A 24,317-nucleotide genomic window follows, 5' to 3' on the forward strand; every position below is an offset into this window, starting at 1 on the left:
ATCACTGGTTACTGTGAGAATAAATATAGGAAGGCAAGGTTGGAAAGAGGGAGACTAAATAAGAGGCTGTTGTAGCAGTCCAGGTGTTGGCTTAGATCTGGGTGGTTGCAGTGGAGATGCTGAAAAAGGGCATTCTTTGTCTATTTGGAAAGAGTGGAGGAGAGGATCTCAGAAGGATAGGATGTGGAGTATAAGTGAGAAAGCAGTGTCAAGCATGCTTCTAAGGTTTGGGACCTGATAACTGGAAGGGTGGGGCTGTCATTTACTGAGATACAAAGACTGAAGAGTAACAGATTTGGAAGAGGATCATGTCAGGTGTGCACACCTTAGATTTGAGACACCTATTAGGCTTCTAAATGGAGAAATGGAGTAGGAGGTTGGGAATATGAATATTAATTCAGGGGAGACATCTGGGCTGAAGATGTAATGATGGGAGCTTCATGATCTCAGTAAAAGCCATAAAAGGGGAGCAAATCCTCGAGAGTGAGGAGATGAGATCAGTCTGTCAGAGACAGAGTGAAGACAATGAAGTTGCAGTTGTGTGCTCCATTATTATTTGCTGTAGGTACAGAGAGAAGTAGGAATTTGTGGGCTAGAAAACTGAAGCAACTTTCATGAAAAGTGTGGGACTTGGACTGGTCCTTGCAAGTGGTTAGGATTTGGAGGGTTAGAGAAAATGAGGAGAGGGCATTTTGGTTAAAAGTTACCAGAATTAAACACAGTGCAATATGAGGTAGTAAGGGAAAACACACCAAAGTCATGATGGGATTTTCTCATGTGTGGAAGCGGTAATACTTGAAGATTTTGTTCAGTCTGTTTCCAAGGATCATGATATGCAAATGATAAAGAGACTTGGGTCCCATTAAATTTTTTAACATTTCCCAATACTTTGCTAACAGCTTTTCCTCCTTACCCTTGCAGCTGGTGCTGCCTTATATTTTGTAGTAACTTGAAACTGACATGTGGGGAATTTTAAGTACATATGTTATCAAAACATGTTTCACAGACTTTATAGACTATCAGGAGGTCATCTTGTCTTTCAAAAAGCAGCCTGGAATTTGAATTTAGTTCCTCTTATAATTTCATGCTCCAAAGTAACTATATGAGAAATTTAAAATTTATTAGCAACTTTCTCTTGTTCTTAGATTTTAGAGAGATGGCAATTTCATTAAACCTGAAAAAAAAATATATATGCTATGTTACCTAGAGGCAGATTATTGAATAACTTTACTTGCCTGGTGATAAATCTAAGGTGCATGAGTATTTTAACGCTTTCCCAGCAACTTTGGGGTTACATTTTTAAAAAGGAAAAAAATCAACAACCCTGCATTCCTTTTTGATACAAAGTAACAAAGCAAAAATGAACCTCATAAAAGAATACAAAGGATGCCAGCTTCAGAACAAATGGTTAGAGACATTGTGCCTTTTGTCCCCTCTCCCCACTTTTTCCTAGAATCTATGTAAGAATCAGGTATTGTTTTTATTCTGTCAAAGGTTTTCATGGAGTTGCAAAAGCTAAGGACTTTGGCAGAACTCTCTGAAGTAAGAGCAAATTATACATTTCGTTGTTCATTTTCCTTAAAGAATGCCTTTAAAATAATGTGGTGTTAATTGTTTGGCATAACCAGGTGTGACATTCCATATGCCCATTTGTTCTTTGGGTTTCAAGGAGGTTCAGAGTACAACTCCTGCAGGACTTGACAGTTTATCTGTGTCCCTTGAATCCTGCAGGTGTTGGCTGGAGAGTAGTAAGCAGTTAGTGGCAAAGGGGTTTATAAAGAAACCCTGTGGACTCTCTAGTGCTGTCCAGTAGAATTTTCTATCCTATTCTTGGTGACAGGAATATTCTATGTATGTACTTTCCAATACGTGGGTAGATGCTACCCATACTGGCTACTGAGTACTTGAAGTGTGGTTAGTACAGTTGAGGAACGAATTTTAAGTTGATTTCATTTTAATTAAATGCAAGTAGCCACATGTAGTTAGTGTCTCCTGTGCACTTGTTTTTATTCTGTAAATAAAATAGTGACTGCCCAGCCAAAGCTAACAATTCATCTTGGGCTTTCTGGAGCACAGAGTGGACAGATGCCCACACTACCCTTGCCGGGGCCTTTCTGCCATCCTGGTGAGTGTCCACAGGCAGATCTTTCACACAGGGACATGGCACCCCTGCTTATTTCCAGGAACTGGACGGTATACAGGACTTTTTGAAATGCCTCCCTCTTGTCCTTCCCAGAAGTGGGGAGAAGGAATAAGGAAAAGCAGAATGACATTAGATGAGGTGAGGTCATTTTTATGGTCTTAAAGACCTTTTTCTCACAGAGATATTTTAAAAAATAGCCTAGGCTGGGTATGGTGGCTCACGCCTGTAATCCCAGCACTTTGGGAGACCGTACAGGTGGATCACTTGAAGCCAGAAGTTCGAGACCAACTTGGCCAACATGGTGAAACCCTGCGTCTAATAAAAATACAAAAATTAAATGGGTGTGGTGGTGCACACCTGCAATCCCAGCTACTCGGGAGGCTGAGGCATGAGAATCCCTTGAACCTGGGAGGTGGAGGTTGCATTGAGCTGAGATCATGCCACTGCACTCCAGCCTGGGTGACAGAGTGAGACTCCATCTAAAAAAAAAAAAAAAAAAAAAAAGAAAGAAAACAAGCCTATTTGAGTATTTTATTACTGACTGAGAATTATCCTGGGCCGTAGATGTTAGAGGCAGCATTAGTACATACTGATCTTGCTGGTGTCTTGAAAGTGAGAATTCTGTGAAGAACCAAATTTCATACCTGGAGGAAGATTGCGTGTTCATAAGGAATATTCTCTAGATTATTATTTTAAAAATTTAAAAGTGGATTATTGAAGGTCTACCATGCACCTTCACGTAAATACAAAATGTGTATGTATTGTTCCAGGAAGGGGGTTATTAAAGAAAGGCATAGATAGCACAGGACATAAAAATGATGAAGATTGGGTCACTGTAAGCCAAGGAAGGGCTGAGTGTGTGACAAAGACAGGCGCTGGGCCCCACCCCAGGATTCTCCAGAAGGATGTTGCTGTTATGGAAGTCCTGGTTAAAATCACACTCCGGGAGCATGGTAGGTGGTGCAGGATAAAGGAGGTCTTTTGTCTCTCGGTGGTCAGTTTTTACACTGAAGAAGTTGGCCACAGTCTTACTGCTGCTGTGGTGAGCTGCCCCTGCCCTGCGCCAGTATCAGAAGCTGTCCCAGTTGAATTTGCTGAGAAAGGTGTTTAAAAAGATTTGTTGGTTGATATTTCTGTGGACATTCTGCCACTCTCACTTGTAAAACTAAATGGAGCTTATGTGCCAGGGACCATGCTTCACTTGCCATCTAAATGAGGAGGAAAAAAATGTGTACATGGAAGAAGAAAACTAACGATAAAAAATGCTATAAGGTAGATCCCCAATGAGTGGTGCAGACAGTAACTGCCATATCCGATAGTTGTCTTCAAATGCATAAAGGGCTGGCAGGTGGAAGAGGTGTTAGACTTACTCTCTGGGGCTCCGGAAGGCAAAACTGGTGGTATTTCTTTTTAATTAAAAAAATGATTTTTGAAGGCCTATTTATGTAGAGTACTCTGGGGAGAGAGAATGATTTAGGAGAGGACAGCATGTTCAGGATATGGAGATGTGACAGTGGCTGCAAGTTACAGGGAAGTTCATTCCAGTGAATAGAAGGGAGAGCTTCAGAAAACACAACAGGCTGCTGTGAGGAGGTTATCCCCCTTCATCGGAGGTGTTCACAAAGAGACCTTGCCTACTGGCTGGGAAAGGGGATTCATACTGGTAGAGCAGGGGTCAGTCAAATCTGGGTGGCTACCTCCTTTTGTAAATGAAGTTTTGTTAGAACTCAGCCATTGCCCATTTGTGTACGTATCCTGCATGGTTGGTTTTGCACTACAATGGTAAAAGTGTGTAATTGGGACAGAGATCACTTGTCCCTCAAAGCCTAAAATATTTGTTATCTGGCCCTTTATAGAAAAAGTTTGCTGGGCCCTACATAGGATTGGATTTAGAGATATGTAAAATCCTTTTTAATTTTCTGGTTGTAAGGGATTCAGAAAAGAAGACAAAAGCCTTGTGGGAAGTCTGAAGAAGGTTTCTTGCAAGATGTGAACTTTCGGTTGGGCCTTAAAAGAAAACGCTTGCTGGTCCTGGCAGAGGAGGCCTGTCCACATGGAACACTTGAGCAGATCTCAAGAGGACTGCATCTCTGGTCCTTGAATGCAGTGTACAGACTCATTCCAGCATCCATGCATTCATTCATGCATTGTGACTCCAGCATATTGCAGGCCAATGTAGTCATCTACAAACACTTCTTGGCCTGCTCTTGGTAAAGTAAGCACAAATTCTGGCATGAGCTGTTGGCATTTTGTTACTAACTTTGCCAGAGTGAAAATGCTCGTGAAGTTCAATGTTTATCATTGAGTTTTACAGAGTTATTTTATTTTAAGTATAATTGTCTCACCTAGAGACAACTTAGAATTTATTTATATATTCTGCTTAATTGTAGGATGTAAGAAATGATGGTTCCAAAACGAAAACCTCACTGTATTTGTAGGAGATGCAACTCGGAGTGTTAAGGATAGGATGATGCACATTACTATTCATGCCTTTTTAATTGATTAGCCTTTAAGGCTTCTGCAAGCCTTTAAAAGTTGTTTTGTCAACATTAGACCAGCTGCTGTGTAATTATGGTAGCTCTTCTTGCAGTTAAATTCCTTTAATAACGTGTTCAATCTGCCGATGCCAAAGTGCTTTGAACCTGTGATATATACTATGGAGAGCTTTTGTTTTTACTTACAGATGGTCGGTGTCATTTTCTGGGCAACTCTAGAATTTTCACAGAAATTTTAAAGATGAATTACTTGAAAATGGAAGGCAAATGAATTTGAACATCAGGTTACTCCTCCCCCTATAAAATTTGTTCATATGTGACTTGAATTTTGAACTTGGCTCATAACAACATAAATGTGCTCATTAAAAAAAAAAATTCCACCTTGAAACCTTTTTAAGGCTCTTTTCTCTGACTCTCCAGCTTGTAAATTAAATCAAATCTTTCTGGCACCAGAGAGATGATGGTGGAAACAGTGGGCCTGTAACAAAGATCACTTGTTAATGAGGAGCCACAAAAGGGTGGTTCTGCCTTCCATTCAGGGGCTGAAACTTCACTCAGAAAACTGAGTGTGAATTTAGCAGTGTGTGAAGTCTGGCATGAGAACATATAACTAGTGATAGGGTCTGGTGTCAGAAAGATACAAACAGAAGATCCTGTGTTTGTCTCCTCCCAGATTCACCTGTCCTTCCTCCCGCATTGGGTTGTACTGGTGGATAAGGCATGAGAGGTGGGAGCAGTGATGATGGTGGCTGTAGAGGCTGCCCCTGTTAGTTCAGGCCATTTTGGTGGCTTCCTTCCTATAGCCATTTTTTTCCCTCCAAGATGGAGTCTTGCTCTGTGACCCAGGCTGGAGTGCAGTGTCACGATCTCAGCTCACGGCAACTTCTGTCTCCTGAGTTGAAGCAATTCTCCTGCCTCAGCCTCCTGAGTAGCTGGGATTACAGGTGCATGCCACCACACCCGGCTAATTTTTGTATTTTTAGTAGAGACGGGGTTTTACCATGTTGGCCAGGCTGGTCTCAAACTCCTGACCTCGTGATCTGCCCACCTCAGCCTCCCAAAGTGCTGGCATTACAGGCATGAACCACCGCACCTGGCCTCCTATAGCATTTTAAAAGGCAAACCATTCAAAACAGAGGCACAGAGCATCAACACATGAAGGAATAAGAGATTAGACCAAGCTACAGCAGCTTTCTATGGCCCCATTATTTAATTTGTATTAAGGAATGCACCTGTGTTGTTGGAAAACCATGAGACGAGTCCATCAACCACCTGCTCACCTTTTCTTTTCACTGTACAGCATAAGGGGGCTTGGAATGCAATTAACCTTATACATTGTGAAAAAGCCGACATGCTTCAAGCTTGAATAGAAGTTCAAGAATATTAATGACCTGCAAAATTTGAAGAAGCAGCTAACCTTGGCGATATTGGCTTACGTAATGGTAGGGCTAGCCAAAAATTGTGCCTCCTGTACTCACTCACAATGTGCAGATTTGTTTGCCTTGAAAGCTCGTGAGCCCTGAGAATTGGGGCATTTAAGAGTTTGAGGAACCATAGACTTATGAGCATAGAGCACTTGTGGTGTTATGAAGTAGCCACTAGACACTCAAATAGAGAAAACTAGAATTTATTTAATTAAAAGTTGTTTAATTAATTATATTTTTCCTATGGGATAAAACTGTTCCTGGTAAATGGCTTAATCTTTTCAAAGTTACATTAAATGTTAGTCTGGAGTGTTTTTAATATTGCAGGCTCATAGAGTTGTGTATCAAGATGTGCCCAAGAGAACTACCATCAGTCTCAGCATTATATTTCTAAATACCAAAACTTGCTAGTGTCAGTAGAAGAATACATCTTTTTGGTAACATCACCTTTTGCTAAAATGCATAGTTTACACTGATATGATTGGAATTAAATCAGCCTCAGTTGTCAGTTCTAATCAGCTGCATGAGACATGGTCTTCAATTAATCTTATCTCATAAACATTAGCATTTTAAATACTTTGTCAGAGTCTTGCATACACTTTTCGAAAATTAGAAACTTTCAGAACTTCTTTGAGGACTTCAAAATTGTTTTTGATACCCTTCCAAAATAATCTTATGTTATCTTGAGATTGCATTGAATCAGAGAGGAGATGTTGGCTTTAAGACCCGATAGTCATAAACCTACATACATATATATGCACATATATCCACATATATGAGTAATCAGCTCCCAAGGAACCTAGTGGTCAGCAAGACAAGGGACTTGTGTATACTCAGATGGCCAAATGTCATGGAGGTCTTTATTTCTCAAACTAGTCATCCCCTTAACTCTCCTATTACGTTCAAAGGTACCCAGGAATAAAATCTTTTTATTTTTCTTATCAAGTATGTAGAATCTTGTTTGTAAGCAGCAAATACCTGGCTCAAATTAACTTAGGAACATTAATCTCATGTATGGGCCAGAATGTGTCTTTCTCTTTCACTTGACTTACTCTCTGTGGACTCTGTGAGGATTGGCCTTTGCACTCTGGGTCTGTGTGCTTGCCTAACAGTAAATTTTTATGGCGATGAACTGTGCCACCCCTCTGTTATGTTATTAAGTGTAAAATAAATTGAAAGAAGAGTTAAATAGTCAAAATGCTGGAAGAACAGGGCAATAGCAGGGACTTGAGAGCATTTAATACTCTTTTCCCACTTTTTTTTTTTTTTCCTATTACCTTACTGATTTCATTCTTTCTTAATGCAAAACAAGTATGCAAACAAGGTGGGAGTGATGTCCTCAGATGCTGCTGAAATGTACACATCTCATAGTTTATGCCAGCGTTTAGGACTGACTCATGCTTTCTCCAGTACCAGACTCAACAATCCTAGGGAAGAAAGCTCATTGGCCTATCTTGGGACAGATATCAACATGGACCAATAAGTTTTGGCAGGAGGTAGGACCACATTGTACAAAGTTGTCATTGGTGACCCCTTTTCTATGTATTAGTAAAAGAAAAATCACTGTGGGCTGGAGAAGCTTCAAACACACGAGATGTTTTCCTTCCCTACATGGACACATCACCTCAGTCTTCCCAAGTATGGCTACTGGCCTCTTCTGGATGTCTTCTTTTTCCCCATTACCTCTAGCCTGAGTGCCATTTCTTTTAATGATTTGGTAAAGAACTTGGGGCAAGACATATTGTAGACAGGAGGAGAATTTCTGGGTTGGTGATTTAGAGCAGATCTCTTCTGATCCTTTCCCCTGAGCCCAGTACCCCTCATTTACTTTTTGGCATGCAGGAGGAAGTGGCAACTCAGGAGAAGGCAGATGGAAAGGTTAAATGGTGAAGCTCACAATCTGCTTGGCCAAGGAAATAATGCCCTTTTCTTAAAGGCTAAATGTTTTTTCAGGATGAGTGGATCAGTGGAGTCCAAATATTCTTGTCTACTGTAGGAGATATTTGATTCTTTATGTATGTATAACATATGTGTAATAGTTGTAGATAAAGCAATTTTGATTTTTCTTTGTTTACTGATTTGTTTTCATTATCCAAATTCACTTGTATGTACTTTTAGGCTGAGAAAGTTTTCCAAACCATTTTAACATGCAACTCTTCAAAAATTTACTGGGATTCTTTGTATTTGCTTAAATAGGAGCCATTCTGTGTTTTTTCCCCAAGTTAATGGTGCTAACTCACTTAATGTTCTAATTCTGACAGCCATTCAGTAATAATGCATTTCCAGAGGAGTTGCAGTAGAATTTTAAGCCTTGTATTTTTGGCTCCTACTTAGTTATCTACCCTGATTGGCATTTAACCATTGAATTAGATTTTTCTTCTACTGAAGAGAGCTTTATGAGCTTTAACTTCAAGTGTCTGTGTCACAGTGTGATTTGTTTGCATTATGATTGACACTGAGCAAGCACTTTTTGCAGGAAAAGGCATTGTCTTTTAGGATTGAGGGAGGATTTGGACACATAGTCTCCTGACACTTTTTTCCAGGGTTCCATTTAATAGTTGTGCACATCAATAACAATCTCACCTGGCACATGTTAACATGGTTACTTTATTTTTGCAATCAGTAATGATCATATTCCCTGAGAGCTGTTTCTCTGGGCCTGTTGACTGATATGGCCATAAATATATCCCCAAAGGCTAAAACTGTACCTGTTTCAGCACAGATGAAATAAAAATAAATGTCCCACTGTTTTAGTATTACAAATTATAATCTCACTACAGCATGAACTTTAAGGTGGTGATAGTTCAATTTCTGCTCTTTGTTTTTGACATGATGGTAGAATAAATACAATTTTAAAACATTTTATTCAATTAATTTTCAGTGACCATTTTGTGTGCCTGGTTCATTCTGTGCTCTCTAAATCATGAAATACATTTCTTTCTTTCTTTTCTTTGCTTTTTTTTTTTTTTTTTTAAGACAGAACCTCACTCTGTTGCCCAGGCTGGAGTGCAGTGGCACAATTTCGGCTCATTTCAACCTCCACCTTCCAGGTTCAAGCGATTCTTCTGCCTCAGCCTCCTGAGTAGCTGGGATTACAAGCGTGTGCCACCATGCCTGGCTAATTCTTGGATTTTTAGTAGAGATAGGGTTTTACCATGTTGTCCAGGCTGGTCTTGATCTCCTGACCTCAGGTGATCCGCCCGCTTCGGCCTCCCAGAGTGCTGGGATTACAGGCATGAGCCACTGCGCCCGGCTGAAATACATTATATTTCAAAAATAGTACTACCTTTAGAAGTTCTTACCTTTAATTGTTAATAGTGAATAAACAAAATAATGTTTTCTGGACCTATAAATGGATTTTGAAGATATCCTTGCCTTAAAGAGACCAAATAATATACTTGCTGTTTCTTCCTATTATATTATCATATTCATTCACTCAGTCAGCAAACATCGATTACTCTACCTCTGGGAACCTAAAACATACTAGGGACGTATAGACAAGTAACAAGTCTTTAATAAAGAGTTAGAGAAATCATGACGTAAAGTACAATGGGGACACAAAGATAGGGACTGGCTGGTTGCATTCAGGGATTGCTTTAACTAGAAGATAACACTTGAAGTAAGCCACTTATGCTAACTGGGTGTGCCCAGAGAGGGCCAGAAAGAAGGCCAAAAGAATGTGAATCAAGTCCTAGAGCATAAAGCGGCATGGGCAATTGGGGGAAGTTGTTTGTTTAAATTTAGAGTCAATGTGTAAGGGAGTGAGTATCTAGAAGTGGGACACAAAAAAGGTGGGATAGACCCTAATCAGAGATGAATATGCAAATATATATATTTTCTAAATATATATATATATTTGACTAGAATTTGAATTTTATTCTAGATATTAGTAGTTTTCCAACGTTTTTGGTTTACAGTATTAAATTTAAGAGGAGGATGAATATTCCTGTGATTGTCAACTTGGGGAAGTACCAGAATCTTGTTGGGTGGAGGACAGGGGCACATTAATAATTTTAAAAACCCACAAGGTGATTGTGATAAGTCCTTGTGTCCTCTCCATTGAGAATTATTGCTATGGGCAGTGGAAACCACTGAGTTTTAAGTGGAGTCCTTAATATCAGTGACCCCATTAAAGTACTATCTCAATTTATTATTCTTTAAATAAAACAATTGAAAAATATACTTACGTCCTCCATCTCTATGCTCCCATGATCCTCTATGTAATTTTTCAGTATCAAATTTTAAAAAAACTCATTTGTTGTGCTGTTGGCACAAACATATTTTAAAGGAGTGTTTGGGAATGGAACATAAAACAGAAATGGAAAAAAAATTAACATTATATATGTCTGTCTTTGATTTCCATGACTGCACATCTTTGATTTCCATGCATGTCTTTGATTTTCATGACTCAGAGCTTTTCTGAGATTCCTATGGGGGTGTCCAGGCTAATGGGAGAAGCAGCTGGAGGAGAGTATGGCAGGCCGAGTGCCTGGCACACAGTAGGCACACAATGATTGCTAGTGTCTTTAGCTTCTCCTTTTAAACTTCAGCTCTTTAGTTGAAATTTAGGAGCCACTGGATTTTCTGTTAGTGGCTAATGTCAAGAGTGGCTGAGAAAAATGTTTGAAACTGAGGAGAAAATAGTGTCTCAGATATTAGACACATATAAACATTAGAAGGGAATTTAATGATTGTCTCGTATCCCAGCCTTCTGCTTCACAGTTGGTGAAACCAAGGCCCTGACTTGACATCACTTGAGTGACTTGACATCACAAGGCTATTAAATTACAGAAAAGGACCAGAAGCCAGGTCCTTTAATTCCTTCATGTCTCTCAGACATGTAGATGGCATTTCTTCCTGTTTTTTCTTTTTCTTAGAGTTAACTCCATGAAAGGTTCTAATCAGCATATCTAAAACATAGCCCTTCATGAACTTCTTCCTCTTTCTCTACTTTTTGTATCCCTCTATTACTAGAAAGGGATCCCAATCCAGACCCCAAGAGAGGGTTCCTGGACCTCGTGCAGGAAAGAATTTGTGGTAAGTTCATATTGTAAAGTGAAAGTAAGTTTATTAAGGAAGAAAATAAACAAAAGAATGGCTGTTCCATAGGCAGAGCAGCGGCATGGGCTGCTCACCTGAGTATACTTACAGTTACTTCTTGATTATATGCTAAACAAGAGGTGGATTATTCATGAGTTTTCTGGGAAAGAGGTAGGCAATTCCTGGAACTGAGAGTTCCTGCCCATTTTAGACCATATAAAGTAACTTCCTGATGTTGCTATGGCATTTGTAAACTGTCATGGTGCTGTTGGAAGTGTCTTTTAGCATGCTAATACATTATAATTAGTGTATAATGAGCAGTGAGGACGACTGGAGGTCACTTTTGTCACCATCTTGGCTTTGGTGGGTTTTGGCTAGCTTCTTTACCACAACTTGTTTATCAGCAGGGGCTTTGTGACCTGTATTTTGTACCAGCCTCCTATCTCATCCTGTGACTAAGAATGCCTTAATCTCCTGGGAATGCAGCTCAGTAGGTCTCAGCCTTATTTTTCCCAGCCCCTATTCAAGATGGAGTTGCTGTGGTTCAAATGCCTCTGACACCTCAGTGGCATCAACATCTACCATGCACTTGAGCTAGTCATTTCAGCATCAATTTTGTCTCCATCTTATACAGTATTCAGCTAGTCATCGAGTCCTGTTGGTATCACTTTGGAAATGTCTCTCACATCTATCTTTGCTTCTATTTCCTATATTACTTCCTTAATTTAGTCTTTACTTGTTTTTTTTTTTTTCCCTCTGGACTATTGAAGTAGCTTTTAAATTGGGTTCTGCCTTCTGCAGTCCACTGTCTCCACTGCCTCTGGAGTTTTCTTTTTGAAATATAAATCTCAATGATGGGTTCAGTAGCCTTCAGTGGCCTTTCATTCTATTGAAAAGTCCTTTTCTCTAGCTGTAGCCTTTCACAATATAGCTTTGATGTCCCTTTTCAACATTTTCTTCTGATCATTTTTCTACTCCCTTTATCTGCCAGACTCTGATCACACCAGCCCATTCAATGTTCCTAATTTTTCAATGTACTTTCCTGGGACACCCTTCATCACCTCAGTTTGAGCACACATCAGTGCTCAATTCTATGCATGCGTAGGAAAAGAAAAGTTGTTTTCCTCTGTTCTTTATAGTTCTTAGTTGGGGTGGACCCCTGTAACAAAAGACAGATTAAGATGAGAAAAACAAGTTTATTAACATGTATATTTCAAATATACATGGGAGATACCCAGATAAATGAGTAAATCTCGAAAGGGTAGATTTGAATTCAGGCTTAAATATCATCTTCAGCTAGAACAAAGAAAGCTGTTGGGGGATACAGTTATGGGAGGTAACCAGGAAAAGCGTGAGACACAAGGGTAAGATTCCTTATATAGATTTAAGTCAGTGCCTTCTCCATTAATACAAGTCTCTAGTGATTTAGAGTCATCTTTCCTGATGCAGAGAGGGTGACACAGTTACAAATAGAGATTTCCTTTATAGATGTAAATTTTCCTACAAAAGGGTAACTTCTACTCTGCTTTTAGAGCTTCTCCTGTATTTTCAGTGTTCAAAATAATCAGCTTGAAATAATCTTTATGCCAAAGAGGCATACTTTGGGATGGCGTATTCTGGTCTCTTAAATACACATCACTTTCTTTGAGTCCTCCTTTCCTTTCTTGGTCGAGATAAACAGATGGATCCTCTGTTACCCACAGAGCACTTTGTTTCTTCTCTAACCATACTGAGTGCTGTAGTCTGATGTGCATGAGAATTAATTTTCTTTTTGAATATGTCTGTTTTATTCAATAGTTTATGAAGTCCTTGAGCTCAGCAGTTGTATCAAATTCATTTTTATATCCTTGGTACCTGTGGTAAATTGAATAATGGTCCCCTGTAGATTTGCATCTTCTAATCCTTGGAACCTGTCAGTATGTTACCTTACATGGTAAAAGGGATTTCTTAGATGTGGTTAATTAAGGATCCTGAGATGGGGCTATTATCTTATTATCATGGTGGAGAAAGGCAGGAGGGTTGGGGCAGAGAAGATGATGTGATGAGAGAAGCAGGCATAGAGAGGGGATAGTCAGAAGAAGCAGAGGTTGCAATGATGTGCTTTGAAGGTAAAGGAAGGCACCATGAGCCAAGGAGTGCATGTAGCCTCTGGAAAAGGCAAGGAAGCTCATTCTCCCTTAGAGCCTCCATAAGGAATGAAACTGTGCAGATGCTTGATTTTAGCCCAGTAAGACCCATATTGGACTTCTGACCTTCAGAACTTTGAGATAACACATTTGTGTAAGTTTCGAGCTACTAATTTTGTGGTAATTTGTTACAGCAGCAATAGGAAACTAATACAGTGGAGGAGAGGAAAAATATTTTTTTCTCTACCCATTGTAGGTTTATGGATGAGGCCTCTATGACAAAAAACAGATTAACAAGAGAAAAGCATACAAATTTATTTAATAAATTTTTATGTGACATGGGAGCCTTCATAAGGAAATTGAGACCCACAGAAATGGGTAAACCTGAGTATTTTTAGGCTAGGTTTGATAACGAGTGGATAGTTGTGGAGAAATATGATGGGATAAAAAGGGTATAATGTAATAGGAATAAATTGAGGAGAACTTAGAAAGGTCTGTTTGTTCAGATTCTGCCCATGACTGTCTTAATCCATTTTGTGCTGCTACAACAGAATGGCTGAGACTAGGCAACTTATAAACAATATAAGTTTACTTGTTTCATGGTTCCAGAGTCTGAGAAGTTAAATATCAAGGATCTGGCATCTGCTGGGGGCCTTTTTGCTACATCATCCCATGGCAGAAGGTAGAAGGGAAGGAGAGTGCATATGAGAGGGTGAGAAGTGAAGGGGGCTAGAACTCATTATTTTCTTAGGAACGTACTCTTATGATAAATAACCCACTCCCAAGATAATGACATTAATCCATTCCGAGTCACCTCTTAAAGATCCCACCTCTCAACACTGTTGCATGGGAGATTAAGTTTTCAACACGTGCAATTTGGGGGATACTTTCAACTCAAAACAGTGGCGCTTCATCTTTAGCGACAAGGATGTTCCTTTTGTCCTGGTATAGGGAAGCACCTCTTAGATGAGGGTCAATGATCTGCTTCAAGGGAAAGTTAGAAAGTCCTTCTTAAGTTTTTTGACCAGCTTCAGCGGAGAAGTATGGGGGCAGGTCAGAGAGACCGTCCTGCTACTGAAGGAATTTTTCTCACATTCCTTTAGCCTTAAAGTTTCACTATGCCAAGGTGCCATATTTTGGGTTAGTATGTTCTGAACCCCATCAACAGCACTTACATGTAACATGCAGTTGGGCTTAGTGTATTTGCATCTGACCTTGACTAATCAAGAGAATTGTTCTCGATGCCCATGATGATCAAAGCTAACATTTATTGAACCTTTTGCTGTGTGCCAGTCACTGTGGTCAACATTTATACTTGATCTTCATAATCACTGTATGGCACCATTATTATCCCTATTTGGCAGATGAGAAAACTGATGCACAAAGTGTTTTAATAATTTTCCCCCAATCACACTACCCAATATGTGATGGCACTGGGACTTGGAAGTGAGCAGTCTGGCTCCCAGGTCTGTGGCCACAGCGCTGTATCCTGCTTAGTCATGTTCTCATGTCACATATATGCAATTTATGTGTGCTGTCCTAGTGTGATATGTCGTGAAGAAAATTGGAAGAGCTAGATTTGAATATTGATGCCTTCAGTAATCAGTTGGCTCTGTAAATGTGGGCAAGTCAGCTAACCTAGATCTGTGTGCCTGTCTTTGTTAAATCATTCCTTTTCTGCTTACCTTATGGGGTTAATATGAAGACTGAATGATAAATCACATGGGAAAGTGCTTTGAGAAACAGCAGGCACTACACATATGCTATTTATAAGTATATATTTGGTTGATGTAGATCTTTTGCAGATTTCCTCATACCAGGATTACCTGGCTGGTCTGATTCATTTGGTGAGTAGGGGCTTAATAATATTTGGTAAATGCATTTGATAAAAATGCTCTTTTGCCCTCCTAGTTCTCATTCTTATATTTTGGGTTGTTGACACTAAAAATCTGAAAGCTCAGAATTTAGTCTCCTTCATAGAACTTTATTTTCTTTCCTACTTTTAAAAAAATGAGCCTTTCTTATCTCACTCCTTAGCTAGTATTTTTATCTTGTAGCCCATAGGAAGGTACGACTTATAGAAGATTTGCAATGATTTCAGCAGCTTTTCAGAAGGGCTTTGAGTGAACAGTTAATCTCTTGAGAATGCAAAGTCATTTGTGGTGGAGAATCTTAGGCCAGTGTTGAGTTGCAAATCCTGGGGAGTCCTGACTCAAGAAGATAGGGAATTTAAAAAGAAAGCCAGTGAAATACATTTGATTCTCTTTTTCCCTGTCCTGCCTTAGCCTGCAATGTTACTTATTCCTTTAAGATGCTTTAATTGCTAATTGTCTGCTGTTTGATTTTGAGGTTAGTTGAAATCACCAGGATGATGGAAGGCCTGACCTGACCAGACCTGAATTCATTGGCAAATTCTCAACTTTTTGAAAAATTAATGAGTTTTGGCTGAGATGACACCTGACTTTTTACAGCATCTTGTTTTGATTTATTGTTTCTTTTGTTTACTTGTCAGATATTCCCGCCCATGACATGGATTTACAGAGTACAATTTTTTTTTTTTTTTTTGCATGTTCAAAGTCAAGCTATCCTGATTGGTGCAACATACAGACATAAAATGATACTTTGAGGGGCATCCTTTTGGATACATTTTTGTTCCTCTCTCATTGTTTCCCTGGGATGAATTCTTAGACATAGAATTACTCCAGGAAGGGTACCAACTTAAAACATTAAAATCAAACCAAACAAGAAAAAGATACATATTAATAGATTGTATTCCCTAAAGGCTGTACTAATTAACACTCCCACCAGTAGTGTATGAGAATGCATATCTCACGGCAACTTTGTCATTGTTCACTTACTCTGTAGCATCTCTGGAGTACTCACAATCTTCTAGGTTCAGACATTTTTCAGAAGTTTTCAAAATCACCCCAGGTGATTTGAAGCTGAAACCACTGGTTTAGTTGATAGGAGAAAAGCATTCTCTCACTATCTCTTAGTGGTTTGAATCTCTCTCACTATCCCCTTAAAATAGATCAGTCACTTTAGGTCATTGGTGTGTTTTGCTACACAGGACATACTATTCCTAATGAACAGCCCCTTCATCACTCTAACACTCTTGAACCACTAATTCACAGTAGTGTCACTTCTAGGCTTATTAATATAATCTTTTGCCCATGCAAAGCTCTCCAATGTTCAGATAATTCTGCTGGATGATGTTACCTTTCAACTGAACCACATCATCTTGTTGGCAAAGCACCTCATGAATACTATCTCATTTAACTATTGCAGGGACCTTGGAATTAGACATTTCCATTCTATTTTTACAGAGAAAGGAAAAGGAACCCAAATAAGTAGCTTTTCTCTAAGGTTGTGCAACTTATAATCACATGTTAGGAACTGAATCAATGTAGGTCTTCTGATTTCAAGTTCAGAGTTTCCAGTGTTGTGTCAGAACCTGTCTTTGGCTTTCGCTAGTTCTGCTGCTTTTTTAATGCACAAATGGATCTGGTTATTGGATTGTTATTAAGGATTTTTTTTTCAGTGTCTGCATTTCTTACGCTTATTTTCTTCTCTGTGTGCTCATTTAGAATTCTACATATTTACAGCTGTGTTTCTCAACGTTTATTTTTATTATTGCTCCTCCTTCCCTAGGAAAAAAATTTAATTTAATTTACATTCTTCCTAATGAGAAAAATTAAATATTAAACTGATAAGAACAGCTACTACACTTGATCTTAGCCAAAAGGCTGAGAAGTGAAGAGAAATTAAATATTAAGGAATAAAATTTTGACAGGTAGGGTTGAGCCTTGGAGGACCACAAACTATGATATCTGATGTTTTTGTTCCTCAACAACCAATTTTAATCTTGGGAGTTCAAAAATGCTGTTAATGGACACACCAATTTAGATGACTAACCCTGGCTATCAGGGCAGAGAGGAGAGCTGTTGAACATTCTGATAGATCTTATAACCGTATGTGTGCAACTAGTGGAACACATGACACCGACATTACTCTCAGCTCACATCAACTAATGACTTACAAGGAAGCTGTGCTTCAGTGTGGGTGGCTAATTATTCAAACTTGCATTCTGTATGATTAAACCACATGGAATTTCACATTTGCTTTTGTTTTCCATATATTTTATGGGTCATATAGATTATATCTCCACCTTTCACCCACTGCCTGCCTTTTTTATTAAATGTGAGCTTTGTATAAGGCTTTTGTCTACTTTTTGTCATAGCTCTGGGCTGAACTTTTAGATTCATTAGTCTCTGATTTGTGGCAGTTACCTACATTTTTACTTACAATTTTAGATAAATAAATGCCGGCGTGTTCACAGGCAGGAAAACACTGCATTGGTAGATAAGGGCCATTCCATGCTGGGCTTGACTGGTTGCCACCAACTCTGACATCCCTGACCCCTTGGCAGAGAAAGAATGTAAATGAGCGAGAATAAAGAGCCCCAGGTAGCTTCTGTTTGTTTTTACAAGAGAACCAGAGCTAGGTGATTTGGGAGAATGCCAGATATTATAAACACAGAGCCAGAGAAAAAGAACAAGGATGGCAAGAAGAGTCCAGGGACTGGGGGAGGTGCACTTGCAGGGGGTGGAGGTTGGCCCAGAGGAAGGTTTTCATTCATTTCTGTGTGTAGAATTTTTAAGATTAACTTGCTAATTTTTTTATTGAAGTCAAGCAAGATTTTAAATCATTTATCAGGGCTCATAGAGTACCTATTTATAGAAGTCAGAATAAAAGTAAATGAACCATGAATGCTAACACACATCTAGCAAATTTAGTAAGATTTAAAAGTTAAATAAACCAATGGAGCCTGCAGATTTTCTCCAGGGCCCCTTTACAAGTTTTAACTTTGTTTCCATTCCCCCCCACTTCATTTTACACACTGTCATGTGTGATTCTTTTAGCCTTAGCTTTTAGAATACGAAAATGATTTACAAGCCTGTTTTTAGAGGCTATTTCATTTTTAGTTAAACGTTTACATGATGCTGGCTTCCTATGTAACTGCTGAAAAACAAAAGTTTTTTTTTTCTTTTTTACAGGTGCTAGACTGTCAATCAGGATAAAGGAGATTGTATGAATTATTTGTTGTTGCATAACAAATTGCCACAAGTAAAACAACAAACATTTATTATCTCAAATTTTGTATGGCTTAGGTGGGTCCTGTGCTTCAGGGTCTATTACAAGGCTGCAATCGGTTGTTAGCCAGGACAGGGATCTCATCTGAAAGCTCAACCGGGAAAGATCCACTTCCATGCTCCCATGGTTGCCGCATAATCCAGTTTGTTGAGGGCTTTTGGACTGAGGGCCTCAGTTCCTAACTGCTTTGGAGGCCACCTTCAGTTCCTGGTTATGTGGGCCTTCTCAACATTGGAACTTGCCTCCTCAAAGCCAGCAAGAGATAGTCTGCTGGAAAGACATCCACCATCTTTGCTATATTCTGTTGGTTAGAGAGTCACTAGAACAGCCGACACTAAAGGGCAGGAGATTACACAAGCGCATTAACACCAGATCGAGGGGCACCTTAGGATCCTAGGCCAAGGAGATATGTGACTCCATCCCAACAAGCCTTCAGGATCTTAGATTCTTTGAGGGAAGAGACCTTTTTTTCGTAGTTAAAATATTTACAAAACCTTTGTGAGGTCATAGCTAGCGCTTTGTGCTGAACTGGATTGTGGAGCCCTGGGCTAGCACTGTGCAGGGCATGAAAGACCAACCACTCTGTAAATGCACATAAAGAACAACCTCCTTGAGCAATCTCAAGCAAGAGAAAGAAGAGGCTTCCGAGCTCCAGCAAAACAATGGGAAAAAACATACCCTTATCTTTTCCTTCTCATTTTCAAAGGTGTGTTAGAGGGAAAGGAATATATTCTGGTTCTGGAGATTTTCAGTTTTCTTTTTATCTCATTAATTCCTGGCTGGGTGTTCCAGGACAAGGTATCCAAAAAGCCTTTTTTGAATCGCAGGTACCGTGAATATAAGTAGAAGAAAGACACCGTCTCTTCCTTTAAGGAACTTACAGTCTTATGGAAGAGACACAGATGGAAGTGCACAATTACCGAATATCATCAAAAAGCCTGAGAAAAAGTTATGCAAAAGCTACTGTGTGAGCACAGAGGCTGTAAACCTAATCCTAAGTTGCAGGTGGGTGAGTATTAGACATCACTCAAGGAAGGCTTCCTGGAAGAGGTGACACAGAGTTGAATTAGTTGGACTTAACCTTTGAAGAAATGAAGGCAGGCTTTGCTGGGAGGCATTGGAGTATTAGGTATAAAGGTTTAGAAGCAGGAGAGCATTTGGGACCTCACAAAACTGCAAGTTGTTCAGTATGGATGGAGTTTAGGGGACTTCTTGGAAAGTAGTAAAAATTGAGGCTGGAGCTGGGTGTGGTGATGCCTGAAATCCCAGCTATTCAGGAGGCTGAGGCATGAGGATCACTTGAGCCCAGCAGTCAGAGGCTTCAGTGATCTATGATTGCACCACTGCACTCCAGCCTGGGTGACAGAGTGAGACCCTGTCTCTACAAATAAAAAATAAAAAGATGAGACTGGCAAGGTAGGCAGGAATAAAATGATCATCAGAGTTCTTGGATGTTGTTCCAGGGATTTTGGACTTTACCTTAAAGGAATCAAGGGATAATCCAATCAGATTGTGCTTTAGAAGTAGAGAAGGATTGGAGGGGTGTTAGGCGACAAGAAGACCAAATAGTATGTAGGTGAAGGGAGAGGGGGTCTAAAATACAGTGAAGTCAGAGGAAGAGGAGATAATGAATTTGAGATCCTAAAGATGCAGAATCATCAAGACAGGGTGATGGCACTGGTTGTGGAGCGGGAAACAGAGGAAGAAGGGAAGCTTGACTTAGATTTCTGACTTTAGTGACTGGGTAGATGGTGGGGTGACTCGCCAGTCTACAAAATATTGGGAAAGTGATACGTTTGAGTTTAGTTTTGGAATTATTAATTATAGGAGTTTGTAGGAATCTGAGCAGAGATGAGCAGTGTTTCAGGGTGTCCAGATCTGGAGCTCAGGTGAATGTGGAGGAGACCACCAGGGGAGAGTATGCGGACCCAGAGGAGAAATAGGGTGAAGGGTGAGTGCCTGTGACATCTGCAGTTAGAGGGGAGAGGACACTGTAAGAGAGGAGGAGAAATGAGTGGTATGATAATCAAGGTTCCCGGGGTTACAGGCCACGGGAGCCAACACAAGCTAGCTCAAGCAAAAACACACTTTTTAGAATTTAGGTTATCAAAGGCACTCAAGGTTCTGGAACTAGGACCCAAAAAGTCTCCAGGAGCACAGCAGGCACTCTGTCACACTAAGGTCCTCATATTGCAGCAAGGCTGTTCCCTTTTTCTGTCTAAAAACCATCTTCCTCCATTGCTCTGTGTGGGTGACATACCCACAGCTCCTGAGTTGAAGCCTCCTCAGATAATGAGATCTCCCATCCAATTGACTGCCTTTCGACCTCAACTCCAGTTTTCTGGGAGACTTAGTCTAGCGTTTCATCTTGGAAAGGTGCCCATGGTGTCATGCAATACAAATGTGGCTAATGAGGGCCCACCCTGGCTGTAGTCAGCCCTTAGAGAAAGAAGGATGTAGTTAGAATCGTATCTACCATGGGCAGCTGAAATGATAGGAAGACAGTGGCAGGAAGAGGGGTCAAAAAAGCCAGACAAAGGGAGAGATTCAAAGAGGAGGGAGGAAGTGGTCCACTGTGCTAGATGCCGCTGACCCAACAGAAGGATTGAATTCAGGAAGAAAAGGACTGTGAGTCCATGACTTTGAGTAGCTAAGTTTGTGAAAAGAAGTGGGAAATTGTTGGTTTTCATTTAGACGGGTAAGGCATAAGTATGCTTCTCTGTGGGGGAAGAGGAGGAACAGGCATTAAAGTGGGAGGGTAGACAATACAGCTGAAGGAGGGCATAACTGATGGTTGAGATTCCCGAGAAATCAAGAGGGAACAGAGGTGGAGCGATTAGCAGCAGACGGGAACGGGCCACGGCTCTCACCAAGGCTGGCAGGAAAGTGGGGTGCAGATGTAGATAATTTGGAGGGTGAGCTGCTAAGAAATTAAGTCCAGATTCTGGTGACAGGAATTATTTACTCTTTATAAAACCCTAAGTTCTTCTTTTGCTCCTTAAATGTACTGAATAAATGCTGAGAAGAGCAATTTAAAGGTCTTTGACAACTGAAGAATCTGGTATTACATATGCCAGGGGATTGACACAGAGAGCTTATGCCAGGCCAGGACTCCTTATAGGAGCCCCAAGTTGGGCCCAGTGTCCCTGTCTGAAGTAAATGCTCCTGTGTTCCTGCTGTGGTCTGTGTTCCTCCAGAATCCATATGTTGGAACTTAATTTCCAGTGTGATAGTATTAAGAGGTGGAGCCTTTAGGAGGTGATTTACTCATGAGGGTGGAGCCCTCATGAGTGGGATTAATGACCTTATATAAGAGGCGTGAGGGTGCTGTTCATCCCTGTTTCCCTCCCATCTCTTTTACCTTGTGAGGGTGAGCAACAAGGCACTATTTTGGAAGCAGAGAACAGCCCTCACCAGACACGGAATCTGCTGGTGCCCTGATCTTGGAATTCCCACCGTCTAGAACTGTGAGTAGTACACTTCTCTTGCTTATAAATAAATTACCCGGTCTGTGGTATATTGTTATAGCAGAACAAACAGACTCGGACAATTCCTAAGTAAGTTCAAGAACATCCCATGAGAAGCAAACATAAAAATATGAATGTGTCACTCCAGCCTGGGCAACAGTGAGACCCTGTCCCTACAAAAAATAAAAAAATGTTAGCTGGGCATGGTGGTGTGCACCTGTAGTCCCTGCTACTCAGGAGGGTGAAGCAGGATAATTGCTTGAGCCTAGGACTTCGAAGTTACGTAAGTGAGCTATGATTGCTCCACTGTACTCCTGCCTAGACAACAGAGTAAGACCCTGTCTCTTAAAAATAATGAACGTAGCTAATGACAACTGTACAAGAATTAGAAAGCTTTGAGGTTGTCTTTCTCCTGTCTTCTTGCTATGGCTTTCCTCTCCTCACTGAGGCTGACTCTTTTTATAAGTGAGAGGATCCCACTCTGTTGCCCAGGTTGAAGAGCAGGGGGCGAGACCATGGCTCACTGCAGCCTTGACCTCTCAGTCTCAGGTGATTCTTGGTTGCATGAACAGTATAGGGCTGGGATCCTGTGCAAGATGGCCTTGCTCCCAAGTTTGTCAGCTGTCATTGGCAAAGCACGTATCTAAGGATGTCTGGCCCAAAATGGACTCATCCTCTCACCCACCACTCCATTTACCAGAAGACCTGGAAGGTTTTCTTCCATGCATCTTTAGCAAGGCTAAGTGAGAATTACTAGCATGGGATTCAAGAGAAACTTAGGTTTAGTAAAAAAGAGAAAGTGGACGTATATATCATTAAATATTCTAAAGCAGTATTTTTTCCTCTAAGAAATCTTCTGGTTTAGTTTACCAAAAAGAGGATGGGATGATGGTGATGTTACCCAAGTTAATTTATGTTTCAAATGGAAGAAGCAAGCAGGTTTTTTGTGTGTGTGTATTTAGGAAGCAGAAACCATGATTTGTGGGAATTCTTTCATGGTAATAGTCACCAGCATTTTTTGAGTGCCTCACACGTGCCTGGAATCGTGTCGTCAGAACCCGTGCCTGGCACTTAGCAGGCGTCAGGAGGCACAGGTCTGCTGATGCACTTAACTAGTGTTTGTGCTACCAGAGGATGCAGAGGGCAGACTTTCCAGTAAGAAATGGGATGAGCTGTGAGAGTAGCTTCGTCAAATCTGCCATACTTTGCTGGAGTGTCCATAGTACTCCTATTTAATCCTGATTTTAGGCCTAGAAATTCTCTGCTTGATCTGAGGGAGGGGTATTGGACCATCGAGGGAGCAAAAACAAGTCCTTAAGCCCTTCCACCTGCCCCTCCACAGAGGCTTCCAAAATTCCAAACCCAGGGGAGATGGCTCTTTGACCTTCAGGTGGCACAATAACTTATAGGAGAGCGGAGGCATTCCAGGGATTTGCTGCCCTGGGATATTTATTTGAATAGGTCCTTATTCTGGACAGAAAGACAAAATTAAGGACTATGGCTTGAAAATAGAGATTTGTCAGCCTTCTTCCTGGGTGAATAGAATGTTCAGTGGGTGCAGGTGAGGCTTTATCAGACTTCAAGCTGCCGCAGCACAGCCCATCCTCATTAATTCCTAATACTTGCGATACAACTCTATCAGTAAGACCTTACGCCTGATAAAGTCCCGTTCCTCTCTTAAGACTATAACCGTATACTTTGCTTATGCTATTGTACTTTTGTCACTTTGAATTCCCTGTTTGAATTTAAAGACTGGTCTCTTTGACTAAATTTCCCTAGCAGAATATCCAGATTGGTTCAAAGCCCATGAGTAGAGGCAGTAGTTCCTCTTAAATACTGTTGTCTTAAATACTGAGGGACAATTCACAAGGACACCTTCATCTGGGGTGTTGGGTGCATTTCATTCTCACTTTTAAATTAACAAACTATTTTGGGAATTGAGACATTTGACATTAGATGACTCCAGGATTTCACTGTCTTAAAGCTGGTCTAAACTTGCAGAGCATTCAAAGAATTTGGTTTAGTTTAAAAAATTATTGATCTCTATGAGCCAATGTATATAATGGTCAAGAAAAGACAATATAAATTCATTGTAATAAAGGCTAGGATAGTAGATTCCTGTGAAGAGGGTGGGGATGGGACAGGGGCATAAGCTTTCTAGAATGCTGGAAGTGTTTATAACTTGTTTCAGGTGTTGAGTTACACAGGAGCATACAAATGTAAAAATTCACAGAGCTTTATTTACAGCAGTGAAAAAGAATACAAAAATTTTCATCTAGGGGTTGATCCCATCATTCCCTAAGATTGCAGGCTTCATTACAGGTCCTCAGTGTAAACCTTTCTGGAGTTTTAAGATCCTTTAGGGAGTTACAGGATCAGATTTGTGCTTTGAGTAGCTCTCTCTGGTTGTTGCTAGAGAAAGGGTTGGAGGGGACTAAGTGAGAGCAGTGGCCATGGCTGGGAGGCTG

The 24,317-nt window shown here is 40.3% G+C and overlaps 1 protein-coding gene and 1 pseudogene across 3 annotated transcripts in view; one reads left to right on the plus strand and one right to left on the minus strand.

The window, feature by feature from the left end:
- The window catches only part of LYPD6 (LY6/PLAUR domain containing 6), a 156,394-nt gene that overhangs the window by 18,784 nt on the left and 113,293 nt on the right, over positions 1–24,317 (plus strand). The window contains exons 1-3 of one of the 3 annotated variants that reach the window (XM_024452699.2): positions 1–19,088; positions 19,210–19,387; positions 21,752–21,849. The exon at positions 1–19,088 is cut by the window's left edge and continues 17,548 nt beyond it. The exons of the other annotated variants lie outside the window; for them this stretch is intronic. The gene's annotated coding sequence lies outside the window, so the exon portion shown is untranslated. The remainder of the gene's footprint in view (positions 19,089–19,209; positions 19,388–21,751; positions 21,850–24,317) is intronic. 3 annotated transcript variants of the gene reach the window in all.
- On the minus strand, positions 16,860–16,986 carry LOC124906190 (uncharacterized; annotated as a pseudogene).

This window comes from Homo sapiens, chromosome 2 (assembly GCF_000001405.40).
Source record: "Homo sapiens chromosome 2, GRCh38.p14 Primary Assembly".
Classification (NCBI taxonomy): domain Eukaryota; kingdom Metazoa; phylum Chordata; class Mammalia; order Primates; family Hominidae; genus Homo; species Homo sapiens.